At 39.0% G+C, this 13486-nt stretch overlaps 1 protein-coding gene across 1 annotated transcript in view, besides 3 other annotated features; it reads right to left on the bottom strand.

Annotated features, from left to right (window-relative positions):
- FAM162A (family with sequence similarity 162 member A) overlaps positions 1 to 12890 on the bottom strand; it is a 28153-nt gene extending 15263 nt beyond the window's left edge. Inside the window, exon 1 of the mRNA NM_014367.4 lies at positions 12773 to 12890. Coding sequence (NP_055182.3) covers positions 12773 to 12806 — 34 coding nt within the window. The 5' untranslated portion in view covers positions 12807 to 12890. The remainder of the gene's footprint in view (positions 1 to 12772) is intronic.
- Positions 12579 to 13079: an enhancer, noted in NCBI's record as "H3K27ac hESC enhancer chr3:122102840-122103340 (GRCh37/hg19 assembly coordinates)". NCBI's record gives its function as "activates a minimal SCP1, AML or CMV promoter by ChIP-STARR-seq in naive and primed H9 embryonic stem cells {active_cell/tissue: H9 hESC(naive and primed)}" and the evidence as "EXISTENCE:reporter gene assay evidence [ECO:0000049][PMID:30033119]".
- Positions 12706 to 12755: an enhancer, noted in NCBI's record as "active region_20367". NCBI's record gives its function as "activates an Ori minimal core promoter by ATAC-STARR-seq in GM12878 lymphoblastoid cells {active_cell/tissue: GM12878}" and the evidence as "EXISTENCE:reporter gene assay evidence [ECO:0000049][PMID:35858748]".
- Positions 12846 to 12995: a silencer, noted in NCBI's record as "silent region_14640". NCBI's record gives its function as "represses an Ori minimal core promoter by ATAC-STARR-seq in GM12878 lymphoblastoid cells {active_cell/tissue: GM12878}" and the evidence as "EXISTENCE:reporter gene assay evidence [ECO:0000049][PMID:35858748]".

The following is a 13486-nucleotide window of genomic DNA, read 5'->3' as shown; positions in this document are numbered from 1 at the left end:
TGAAATTTGGTGGTTTTCATATATTCACTAAGTTGTGTATTGATCACTAATTCCAGAAGACATTCATCACCCCAGAAAGAAATCCTGAATACATTAGCAGTCATTCCCTGTTTCCTCCTTCCCCCAACCCTAAAAGTCACAGTCTCTATGGATTTACATATTCTGGACATTTTATATAAATGGAATCATACAACATGTGGCCTTTTATGACTGTCTTCTTTTACTTATATTTTCAAGGTTCATCCATGTTGTAGCATTTGTCAGCACTTGATTCCTTTTTATTGACAAATTTTATTCCACTATACCAGAGTTTGTTTACACATTAGTCAACTAATGGACATTTGGGTGGTTTCCACTTTTTGGCTATTATGAATAATACTGTTATAAACATTTGTGTACAAGTTTTTGAGGAACATGTATTTTCATTTGTGGGGTATATACTAAGGGGTGAAACAACTGGGTGATATAATTCTCCATTTAATCATTTAAGGAATTACAAGACCATTTTCCAAGTGGCTGTAACATTTCACATTTCCATATATGAGGGATCCAATTTCTTCACATCCATACCCACATTTGTTATTCTTTTTGATTATAACTGTCCCAGTAGGTAGGAAGTGGTATCTCATTGTAGTCTTAAGTTACATTTATCTAATGAGTAATAATGAGGATCTTTTCATGTACTAATTGGCCATTTGCATATCTTCTCTGGAGAAACATCTATTTAGGTCCTCTGCCTATTTTTTTTTAAGTAGGGTTATGTCTTTTCATTTTTGAGTTGTAAGAGTTCTTTCCTTATCTGATATGTACTTTGCAAATATAGTCTCCCACTCCATGGGTATCTTTTCACTATCTTGATGATGTCCTTTGAAGTACAAAAAAATTTAATTTGGGTGAGGTCCAGTTTATCCATCTTTTCTTTTATTGCTTGAGCTTTTGGTGCCATATACGATATCACAAAGATTTACTCCTATATTCTAAGAATTTTATAGTTTTAGCTCTAACATTTAGGTCTGTGATCCATTTTGAGTTATACTAGTATACTTTCTGTGAAAAGGATCCAAATTCATTCTTTGGCATGTAAATATCCAGTTCTCCCAGCACCACTTGTTTAAAAGACTGTTCTTTTCCGCACTGAGTTGTTTTAGCGCCATATAGAAAATCAATTGACTGTAAATATGAGAGTATATTTCTGGACTATCAATTCTATTCCACCGATCTAAATGTCTGTCCTTATGCCAGCACCACACTGTCTTAATTATTACAGCTTTGTAGTTAAGTTTTTAATCAGGAAGTATGAGTCATCCAACTTGGCTTTTCTTTTTAAAGATTAGTTTGCCTACTCAGGGTCCCTTAAATTTCTAAATTTCTGTATGAATTTGAGGATCAGCTTGTCAATCTCTACAAAGACCCCAGCTGGGATTTTGTTGGGGATTGTGTTGAATCCATAGATCAATTTGAGGAATTCTTCCATCTTAAAAATATTAAGTCTCTCAAACCATGAACATGGGATGTCTTTCCATTTATTTGGGTCTTCTTTAATTTCTTTCAGTAGTGTTTTTGCAATTTCCAGAGTACGTTTTAAACTTCGTTATTCTTTTTGATGCTATTATAAATGGAATTTTCTTCATGTTTGCATTATTTATTGCCCATTTATCTTGCATACTGCAAAACTGTTCAACATTTAGTCTAACAGGGTATGTGTGTGTGTATTCCTTAGGATTTTCTATATACATGATCATGTTATCTGGGAATATAGTTTTACTTCTTTTGCCACTTATTGTTTTTCCTGCCTAAATTCCCTAACGAGAACCTCCAGTAAGTACAGTGTTGAACAGAAATGTCTGTTGAAAATGGACATCCTTGTCATGTCATGGGGGAAACGCATTCAGCCTTTCACCATTAAGTCCGATGTTAGTTGTGGGTTTTTCATTTAATGCCCTTTATCAGGTTGAGGAAGTTCCTTTCTATTCATAGTTTCTGAGTGTTTTTATAATGAAGAGGAGTTGCATTTTGTCAAATGCTTTTTCTGTGTTTACTGATGTGGTTATGTGTTTTTTTCCTTTATTCTATTAACATGGTGAATGATGTTGAGTCAGGAGTCCTAACCTTACATTTTTAGCATACATCCCACTTGATCAGTCTATAATTTTTCATGTCACTGGATTCATTTTGTAGCAGTTCTTGAGGATTTCTGCATCAATATTCCTAAGGGATATATATGGGTCTATAGTTTTCTTGAGATTTTTTTGGGAGGGGTTTGGTATGAGGATAATGTGGCCTCATCAAATGTATTGGGAAGTGATCCCTCCTCTTTTGTATTTTGGAAGAATTTGTGAAAGATTAATTCTATTTTTTTCTTTAAATGTTTGGTAGAATGCACAATTGAAGCCATCTGGGCCTGGACTTTTTCTTTGCAGGAAGTTTTAAAATCACTAGTTCAATCTCCTGTTACAGGACTTTTCAGATATTTTATTTTTTCTTGACTTAGTTTTGATAATTTTTCTTTTTCTAAAAGTGTGTCCATTTCATCTGGTTTATGTAATTTTTGCCATAGAGTTGTTCATAGTCTCTCCTTGTATCCTTTGTGTGTTTGGCCACAGAGGTCTGTCTGGTTATCTTAGTGGTCAGCTAGTAACTGGAGAGACTAATAAATGCCTTTAAGTTTATTAAGTGTTTGCCTACGGGCTGTGTGTGCATGTTGGGGCATGTCTTCTACCCTCAGGCAGGCAGTCTGCAACACTGCCTTAGCCTTCTGATATAGTTTGGATCTGTACCCCCACCCAAATCTCATGTTGAAATGTAACCCCCAGTGTTGGAGGTGTGGCCTGGTGGGAAGTGAGTGGATCATGGGGGTGGATTTCTCATGAATAGTTTAGCACCATCCTTCTTGGTGCTGTCCTCGTGATAGTGAGTTCTTATGAGATCTGGTCGTTTAAAAGTGTGTGGCACCTCCCTGATCTCTCTTGCTCTTGCTCTGGACATGTGACATGCCAGCTCCCCCTTCGCCTTCCACCATGATTGTAAGTTTCCTAAGGCCTCCCTAGAAACTTGACAAATGCCAGTATCATGTTTCCTGTACAGCCTGAAGAACGATGAACCAATTAAACTGCTTTTCTTTATAAATTACCTAGTCGTAGGTATTTCTTTTTAGCAATGCGAGACTGGCCTAACACACCTTCCATTCGTGCTCGGACAGAGACTAAATGTGAGGTGAGAGCTTAGAGACCTCTCAGGTTTTTCCTGGAAAATGTGTCCAACCTTACACATATTACATTCTAGAAATATGTCAGAGCTTTCCAGATGTCAGGATGGACATCTCATTCCCCAGCTTCTTGTTTGACCCAGCTGTTACCCACTCCATGTTATGTCAAACAAGTGCTGCTGATTATTTTCAACAAATGCACCAGGGAAAACACTGTTTGCAGTGAATAAACTCCAAGTCAGGTGAAAAAAGATAAGCCCTGTGAGTGGGGTTTCCAGCGAACTGTCAGACAAGTCAAATAGTAACAATTCTCTGCAGCTGGAAGTTTTGGAAAACTCTTAAACCCATTCTGCCTTCTTCAGTGCCTGCAAGGCTGCTGGTTTTCAAAGTAACTGTGATTTGTGAGGCTGTTGGTTTTCAAGACTATTGTGAAGCTGAAAGAAGACAGGAATAAAGCAAGTTAAAACTCCACAAAACTTGCTGTCCTACCACGATTTCAGGCTTTTTTTTTTGGATAAATGCTCCTCAGATTGTCACAAATGCCTGGTAATTTTCCAGAGTTCTGGAAAAGTTGCTTCTGCCAACTTCTGGCAGTGTTATCATTGCTTTTGGGTAAAAATGGATTTTCAGAGGTCCTTACTCTTGACACACCAGAAGTTGGAATCTCTATTTGTGGTTACCTGGCACACAGTCTTTTTCATAAAAGGCCTCATTTATTTTGTTTTCTAGGGCTATAAATGCCAGAAAGCTTTGCCTGGATCTGGCAAACACAACATCAGTGCCACCTAGTGGAAAGGAGATAAATTAACTGCTTTTAGCTTGTTTCCTCATTTAAAATGTGGATAATGCAGTGTTTCTTGTACCAAAGTTGATTTGAGGGTTAAATGGAAAAGCAAATATGGGAGCATCTGGTAAGATGCTTGAAACACAGCAGGCTCTCTAACTGTTAAGTTTATTTTTTTTTTGAAATATTATGTAAAACATTAACTTTGATAAAACTTCTAGAACACTTTTCAATTTTACCCCTAATGTGGTCAGGATTTCTGACAAAGTTAATTATGCAGTTATGAGGCCATGGGAAAAGTCTATGAAACTCTTCAATAGATTTTCATAGCACTCAGGATTAAGACACAATTATTAAATCCTGTGATCTTCAAATTTTAGTGTTTTAGTGTTTGGTGTGAATCAGAGGAATGCCTTGTTAAAACACAAATCATGAGGCTGTCTACCTCCAGTTTCTGCATCCACAGTTCTGGAATGGAGGCTGGGAATTCGCATTTCTAACAAGTTCCTAGGTGATGCTGCTATGCTGGTTCTGGACTATACTTTGAGAACCTAGGCTTTTCTCTCCCCTAAGATGTGGTTAAATATACATAACATAAAATTTACCATTTTAATTATTTTAAGTGTACAATTCAGTGGCATTAAGTACATTTACACTGCTGTGCAACTATTACTACTATCCATCTCCAGGACTTTTTCATCTCCCCAGAGAACCACTGGTTTAATGTGACCTACAAGGCCCCATCTCACACAATGCTATCCCATTCCTCCTTTGGCAGGCACTTACAAAAGGAACAAGGTTAACCGGCAGCAAGCTAGAAGGACTCTGCTCTTTAAACAGAAAAAGAATCAATAATTATTTCCTAAGACAGCTGTCCTTTCCCATTCCTCCTAATTATAGAACAAAGGCAGTTTAGGAGAACAGAAGACAAACTGCCTCTCAGCTAGCTCAGTTTGAGAAATAATAAAGCAAAAAATGCTAACATGTATACCTACTATCAGTGACATCGATGTATGTTGGAGTAATTCATTCAACAAAGTACTTCCTATGTGCCAGGCATTGTTTTAGGCAATATATAAAAAAGATAAAAATCTGTGCCAATAGAACTTGCATTCTACTGGGGAGAAAGTTATACATATGTTAGATACTAAGTGCCAGAGAGAAAAAAATAAACAATGGGGACATGAAGTATGTGTTTGGAATGGGCTGTGTATGAAATTTTACATAGAGTAGTTAGGAAGTCCTCTGTGAGAATGTCACTCTTGAAGGGAAGCAAGGGCTAGCTATGCAGCTATCTGGTGGAAGAATATTCCAAACAGAAAGAATTATAAATGCAAAGACCCTAAAAGATTCTAGAGCCCATAAAGAGAAGGCCAGTATGGCCAGAACAGAATGAATAATGGGAAGACAAGTAGAATTTGATGTGAGAGAGGTACTGAGGTAGTTATGGAGGGTAAGGACTTGGAGACATGAGAGGTTCACCTAGATCAGACTGTATCTCCCAACTTTTTCTTACTACAACTTCATATTGTATGCTAATAACTTTTACCTCCCTACAGTATAAATGCTGATTAAAACATACACACATATTATCTTATTATAGATATTAGAATAATAGACTAATGTAAATATATTTTTTTAAAGATGAGGTCTTGCTTTAAAAATATTTTTAAAAATGTTATCACTACATAGTGAAACCCCACCTCTACAAAAAATACAAAAACTAGCTGGGCGCAGTGGCATGTGCCTGTGGTCCCAGCTACTCAGGAGGCTGAGGCAGAAGGGTGGCTTGAGCCCTGGAGGCAGAGGTTGCAGAGAGCTGAGATCATGCCACTGCACTTCAGCCTGGGCGATAATGCCAGACCTTCTCTCAAAAATAAAATAAAATAAAATTTTAAATTTTAAAAAGTTATCGCTAAAAAATGTCTGAAGTATTTGATGTGGTCTTGGTTTTTATTTTGCAATTATAACAACATGAAAGCATAAACAAACTTTAATATCATTACTAAGACCTTCGTTTTCTCTCAAAGAGACAGAATATATTGACCAGACGTCCAAGCCAGAAATTTTCCATCCTCTGGTGGATCACGATTAAAAACATACAAACCAAAAGAAAAACAGCCCTTTAACCCTCTAGCTGGACTTAACAGCTTGTCCCTGGCTGACCAATTCTGTGTCTCCAGGGCCCTAGCAGGAAGTTAAGATGAAGCCTCACAGCTGTCTCTAAGGCTCTGGGTGGCAAACGGCTAATCTTAAGAGTAAAGGTTCTTAACTTTTTTATCTATCGAAATCACCTGGGGGACCCTGTGAAACAGATTACTGGACCCAACTGATACAGTCAGTATGGACAGAACCTGAGAATGTGCACTTCTAACAATTGCCCAGGTAATGGTGAAACTTCTGCTATGGGGGACCCATAATCTGAAAACCAGTGCCTTAGAAATATCATTGCTAGCTGGAGGCTATAGTGGTCAGCCAGGGTGAGGCTGGTTGAAGTACCAGCTTCTCTCCTGGTAGTCCCCTCCTTTCCATAAATATCCTTTCCAACCCCATGATAGACAGTGAGGAAAGGTAGGGATGCTTTTTCTTTCTCAGAATCTTTCAAGGTCCTCTTGGAGAAAACCATAGGTGATGTGACTGGAGATATGACAACTCTCTGGGAATCAGAGAATCAATATTACAACCCACTCCCCAGAGTGTCTATCTGAAACTCTCTAGGCCTTAGCTGTTGACCTGGGCTTTGTGACAGAAACAGACTCCCTATATCCGTTTTCTCATCCTTCCCTGCAGGCTTGAAGAAATACCAGTCTTCCTTTATTCTTAAGTAGTAATCCCTCTGCTGAGGGATGTCGTACCAAACTTATCCTTATTTTCCACTGCCTTTTTCCTGCCAAATGTTATCTCCCCCATCTTTAAAATCAAAACTAAAAAACTTATTTTTTTTTTTAGAGACAAGGTCTCACTTTGTCACCTAGGGTAAAGGGCAGTGGAGAGATCATAGCTCACTGTAACTTTGAACCGGGCTCAAGCGATCCTCCTGTATCATCTTCTGGAGTAGTTGGGACCACAGGCAGATGCCACCATGTCTAGCTAATTAAAAAAATTTGTTTTGTAGAGATCGGGTCTCACTATGTAAAAACCTTTGTACCACCAAGTTGTTACACACCATGTTATGTAAAAAGCTTTTAGTAAAACAAACTTTAAATGATAAAAGTAACACTTGCTCATTACAGAAAATTTGGAAGTTAAAAAAAGATGTGAAGAAAAATAAAAGCACTCATAATCATAGCACTTAGGGATAACAACTTGGTGCATTAATATTTCTTTTCAGACCTTTCCTATACTTACATAAAACATATACATTTTTCATAATCAGATAATACTGTATCTTGCTATGTCACAAATACTTTCCAAGATATTAATACTTTTAATAGCTGTATAAAACCCGACACACAGCTATAATCTGAATGTAGTAATTCCCTACAACTTGATTTCTTTCCAATTTTTCAGTGTTATAAGTAATGTTTCAATGAACAGTTCTCTACATACATCTTTGATGGTATTTCTGATTATTTCCTTAGAATAAAATCCTGGAAGTGAAGGGTAAAAGGGTATGAACCCCTTTAAGTTTCCATCTATCTATCTCATCTATCTATCTATCTATCTATCTATCTATCTATCTATCTATCTATCTATCTATCCATCTATACTACTTTCCAGAAAGGCTGACTACTTCTCCAGTAACTTCTACTAGTAGTTACTGAGAATTCTGTCTTATTACTCTACAATAACACTGAAGGTCCACTATGTTGGACAAAGCATTCACTTGTTCTCAACAGGTACTATTAATAAAATTCTTATTTCCTCTTTTTCATAGCTCAAATGATTGAATAAATGGCATGTATCTACTACTTCACTTCACCACCCACACTTTATTTTGCTACAATGTTTCCTTCTCCAATCATTTTACTAAAATTACTCTACCAACATTAGTGACCTCTTTCTAGTCATATGAATACATTTTTTTTTTTTTTGAGACGGAGTCTTGCTCTGTTGCCCAGGCTGGAGTGCAGTGCTGTGATCTCAGCTCACTGCAAGCTCTGCCTCCCGGCTTCACGCCATTCTCCTGCCTCAGCCTCCTGAGTAGCTGGGACTACAGGCGCCCACCACCACGCCCGGCTAATTTTTTGTGTTTTTAGTAGAGACAGGGTTTCACCGTGTTAGCAAGGATGGTCTCGATCTCCTGACCTCGTGATCCGCCCACCTCGGCCTCCCAAAATGCTGGGATTACAAGCTTGAGCCACCGTGCCCGGTCATGAATACATTTTTTTAGATTCTCATCATTAGCCCTTCTGACTCTACTCTTCCCATTTTTGTGGCCATTTGATTCGACTGATCTCATCTTTCTACAAGGATTCAATGCCTCCTTACATTGTACCACCAAATTCTCTCACTTCATCTCCAACCTCTATGACCAATCTTCTTTAATGTCTTCTTTCCCAGTTCCTATTATTTACACCATGTCACACCTCCAAGGCTTAGTCCTTGCTTCTATTCTGTGCTACTCTCTGGAAGGACTCCTCCATTCTGTTTTAAAAATCAACTCCAGACTAATTGCTCCCATATCTTTATCTCCATAACTTTACTCTTCCTTTGCCCTCAGGTCTTCAACCTCTCACAACCTATAACTCAGTGCCACCTAAACCTACTCAATAATGCACCATCTTCTCTGCCAAACTAACACAAATCTTTGATGGCGTTTCTGATTATTTTTCCAACTTTCTTATTTCTGACAATGAGGCAATACTTCTGTAGTCCTCAACATTAAAAAACTTGTCTTTAAGTCCTTCCTTACTCAGTATCTCCAAACTCATCCTTTCTTCAAGACACTTCCTAAATATATTCGTTATTTCCATCATCACCTCACACATCAGTTACTGTAATATCTTCATAGGTAGCAGCAATTCAACTGGTATGTAGTTGCTGAGTTAATTTTCCAGAAATGTTTCTTGTGTTACTTCTCCTGCTAAAAGGTTTTTTTGGTCCAAATTCATTTGGTTCAAACGTCTCCAAACACTACACTTTACCTCCTATTGCCTCCTGATCAAAATCCCTAAGGTAATCTTTCCTCTCTCATATCCTTTTTCAGACTCATTACCGCCCCTACATGTGCTCACAACTCATTACCGCCCCTACATGTGCTCACATCACTCTCACACCCCTTCATTTCAATGGAGCCTTCAAGAATCTCAGAATTCTTGAAGCCAATGGTATATTATATATGTTTGTTTGTTCATTGCAATAAATCAGCCCTAGGAGTGGGGCAGTCCATTCATTTTAGAGCCTTCACAGTATACACACAGGGCATCCATTGTGTACTCAATAAATACTTGGCAAGACCTGGAAAGGAGCAATAAGTAAAGCCAAATGTGGGGGTAGTTAAAATGCGTACGTTCTCATTTAGGTTTGGTTAGCAAGAACAAACAAAAAGAATAAGGTAGCAGAATGTGGTAGAAATAAAATCAGAATGGGAGCCAGGGGATACTGGCTATGTCCCAGGTCTGTACCTGTGTGGTCCTTGGCAAGCTGATTCCCTTCTTGGCCCTTAAGTTTCCTCATCTGTAAAAATTAGAGGACTAAATTACCTGACTTCTAAGATACCTCTCTACTCTAATGCTCTGAGATGTGGGTTAAACTAAAAGGAAGGCAGCCCATAGTCCATTACATTGGTAACAATGACGGTAACAAATTCATTTTCAAATCTGACCAGTCAACAGAGTTTAGGGGAGCAAAACTTTCTTTCAATAAGAAACATTCTTGTAAGGTCATTCCATTCCTTTGAACTAATAATCATTCTGTGGAAAGATACAATATCCTAAAAGTTATATCTATTTTATTCTTTCAGGAGAAAACAGGTGTGAAAACTCACCTTACATTTGCAGCATGTTCCAAGATATTTCCTAGCATCCTTCATCCAAAAAATATGTATTGCCTGTCTACTATGAACTGAACACCAATAAGTGGTAAGGACTGAGTAAAAACAAAACAGAGCCAGTGTTTACCCTTATGAAACCCAGCGTAGTGTGGGTAAATGGCCATTTAGTTCCTAATCATCTGTATCAGTGCTTTTTAACTTAAAGAGCATGAACTGCTCTGAGTAGCAGATATAAAATATGGACCCTCTCTCTCAAAAATGGTATACAATCATAAAAATTTGAGAAGTTCACAGGACCTCTCAAATGTGGAGGTGTCCAGTACCACAAGTTAACAACCCTGATCTGTATCTACAACTACATCTACAAAACAACAAATTCGAGCTCATAAAAGCCTACATTATGTTTGCTATATTGTTTGCTAAGGGAGTATACCAAAGATTTCCAACAGAAACAAAAGTAAAGGTCCATCATTTATAAGGTTAAGTTTTGATCATCTGAAATTTCACTTACCTAGAGAATCTTATTCCAAATATTCTGGATAAGTAAGGTATGCCTAGATTATGCTTCTTTTCTTTTTTTTTTTTTTTTTTAGACAGGGTCTCACTCTGTTGTCCAGATTGGAATGTGGTAGCATGATCGTATTATAGCTCAATGCAGCCTCAAACTTCTGGGCTCAAGTGATCCTCTTGCCTCAGCCTCCTGAGTAGCTGAGACTATGGGTTTGAGCCACCATGCCCAGCTAATTTTTAAAAGTTTTTTTTGTAGAGACAGGGTCTTGCTAAGTTAGCCAGGCTGGTCTCAAACTCCTGGTCTCAAGCAATCCTCCAGTATCAGCCTCCCAAAGTGCTGGGATAGCAGGTGTGAGCCACCACATTGAGCCTACATTTCTATTTGATCTTTCATTCCTTTGGCTAAGGCTGCTTATTAAAGCAGTCTTCTTTCTTGAAAAGCCATTTGCACATGAAGGTGTACTTTCATTTCAGAACTAAATCTGCATTTCATGACTCTTCCATTTCAGATTAATGAGATCCAATTAGTCATGACAAATTCACACACGCACAGCCCCTGAATGAACAGCTTGAACAACAGCAAAAAGCACAAAAATTCCAGAATTAAAGGGTACCCTCTCCTGGCTCTAACATTTTTTGGCAAAGAGATCCTGGACAAGTCATCTCTGACCTATGTTTCTTCATTTATAAAGTGTGGGAGGAATAAGACTTACCTGAGAGGGCTGCTATGAGAAATCCATCCAACAAAATAATGTATATGAAAGTATTTAGCTATGAAGTGGGTGAAAGGTAGTAGGTTGTTGCGGAGTTGCTCACAAAGCATCAGACATTCGTGGAAGATCATATGGAGAGAGCTGCTCATATAACATCCTTAGTGTGCTATTAAAAATTTTATATCTGAAGTAAAATAAATTGTTCTTAAATCACTCAAGGAATTCTGCTTTGGTTAAGTGGTCAATAGTGAAGTTTTTACACATCAGAAGTTTGCAGAGATGCAAAAATATATTTATGCAAGATGCATAAATATATTCTCAAAGCAAGAAGATGAACTACTTACAATATACTCAGTATTAGTTCAAAGATGTCAAAGTAGTTCCAAGATGTCAAAGTTCTTTTCATGCAGTCCATTTTAACTTTTTTACAGAGCAATGATCCTTTCACTTGCCTTGTTGAAAAGCTTCATAATGTTAATAGGATGTACAGAAGATATTTTAGGTGAATTAGTTCAACAAAACTGACAAAATCAATGAAATCATAGTATTGAGGATTTTAGTGGAAGAAGTGTTTGCTTTTAAAGGAAGTAAATATAATAATACTCTCTAGTTTGAGACATGTTTTCCAGTCCATTCTCTACCGGAACACTAGATAAGCTGTGTAAAGGATAATCTTGAGGTGGGGAAGGTTATGTATCAAACTTGTGAAACTATGCAACATTCACTCTTTTTTTTTGCATTACTTCATTTACATTACAATATATATTTATATTATTTGAATAGCCAAGTTTGGGGCTATTTTTCCTTTAAAAATTTAATTAACAACTTTTTAATAATGTAGTGTGTGCCATTGAACAAAAGATCTCTGGTACCCAGAAAAGAGTCAAAATGCAAGCCCTCTGATTTCTCAACCCCTACTATGCCAAGGCTCTGCTGGTTCTCCCAAAAAAAAAGAATTAAGCTTTCATTACCTAAGTCCAAAATAGTCATCACACAAATGTCTACCACCAAAACAAACTGCAGATCCTTCAATTACACACTTCCTCCAAGAAATTCGAATCAATTAATTGTATAAGTGTTTAAAAGTAATGTATCCTCCATTTTAAGAAAACAATTATTATTAATCTCTAAGACCTAAATCCTTGGCCTAATCAGACATTTAATGAGTGGGGAAACTTCAGACTGGAGGTTTTCTGGGATAAACTCCAGAGAGGAAGGAGCAGGGGGAAGAGGGAAGACTCAAGGAGAGCAATAGATAGGGGAGGTTAGGGTGGAAAGCTGAATGCATGGGTAAAGGGGAGGTCTAGGGATAGTAGGTGCTTTACAGACTGAGCTCAGGGGAGGCTGAGGACGGGGGTGGGGAGAAGGGTAGGCGCGTGGGCAGTTAAGTTGGTGGGAGCTGGGTGGATGGAGATGAGGGTAATTCACGGGCAGTCTCCAATGCCTATCAGCAGCTGCTCACCTAGTTCCCTCCCACATGGCTACTAAGTAGGTAGGATTCTGAGGAACCGAGAAAGTGCGTCATGGAATGGAGCCACTCCGGGGCCCAGGAAGGCTTCAGGATTCCCCCACCCGCAGCGGCCGGGCCAGCTCCCCTACCTCCCATATCCCGACCGGCGTCTCACCTGCTGCCAGGCGCAGACCGCTGAGGCTCCCCATGGCCACTTGCTACTCCGCCGACCAGCGCAGAACTTCGCCGGGGACGGTGGCGCTGGTGAGCTCAATGTCACCCAGCGTTGGAGTGGGAAGGACGCAGGCGGCGCCGGGGGGCGGGGCGTGCGCGACGCGGTGTACAGGCCTGCGCCAGTGCGGGGCGTGTAGGACGTGCGCCACGCGCTGGAGACCCGCGGCGCCAGCCTAGTGCCCCTGGCGCCGCATCCTGAGCCAGCCTCGGAGATGGTCCTGTGGAGTGTGGCGCCGTGGGCCCTTGCCCTAGCGGATATGTACCCATGGGAGTACCTGTGTGAAATAGAAAGGAAATGTGCAACTTTCGTGATCTGTAAACTCCCGAAATACACCAGATAAACCAGTATTCCAGTATGCCGCTCTTCCAGTGTTTTCAATGAACATATGCTTTTATCAGAAAACACATAATTGGACTCTGCTCAGTGGCCCTATCTCTTGTTGGAGCATCCCTCAGGCTAATCTGAGAAATTAACATGTATGTTTTCAATTTGTTTTCTATTTACCTATTTTCTAAAAACATTTGATCATCTCCATCCTAAACACTTTACTCATACCCACCCACACTGCCAGAAATGCCGTTTTTTCTTGACGTTTCTTAGTGGTCCCAAATTCTTAACAAAGACCCCCCTGCTCCAGGGTCCGGGGAGGAGGTT

Source organism: Homo sapiens, chromosome 3, assembly GCF_000001405.40.
Source record: "Homo sapiens chromosome 3, GRCh38.p14 Primary Assembly".
In the NCBI taxonomy this organism is placed as follows: Eukaryota; Metazoa; Chordata; class Mammalia; order Primates; family Hominidae; genus Homo; species Homo sapiens.
This window is presented reverse-complemented; position numbering and strand designations above follow the sequence as displayed.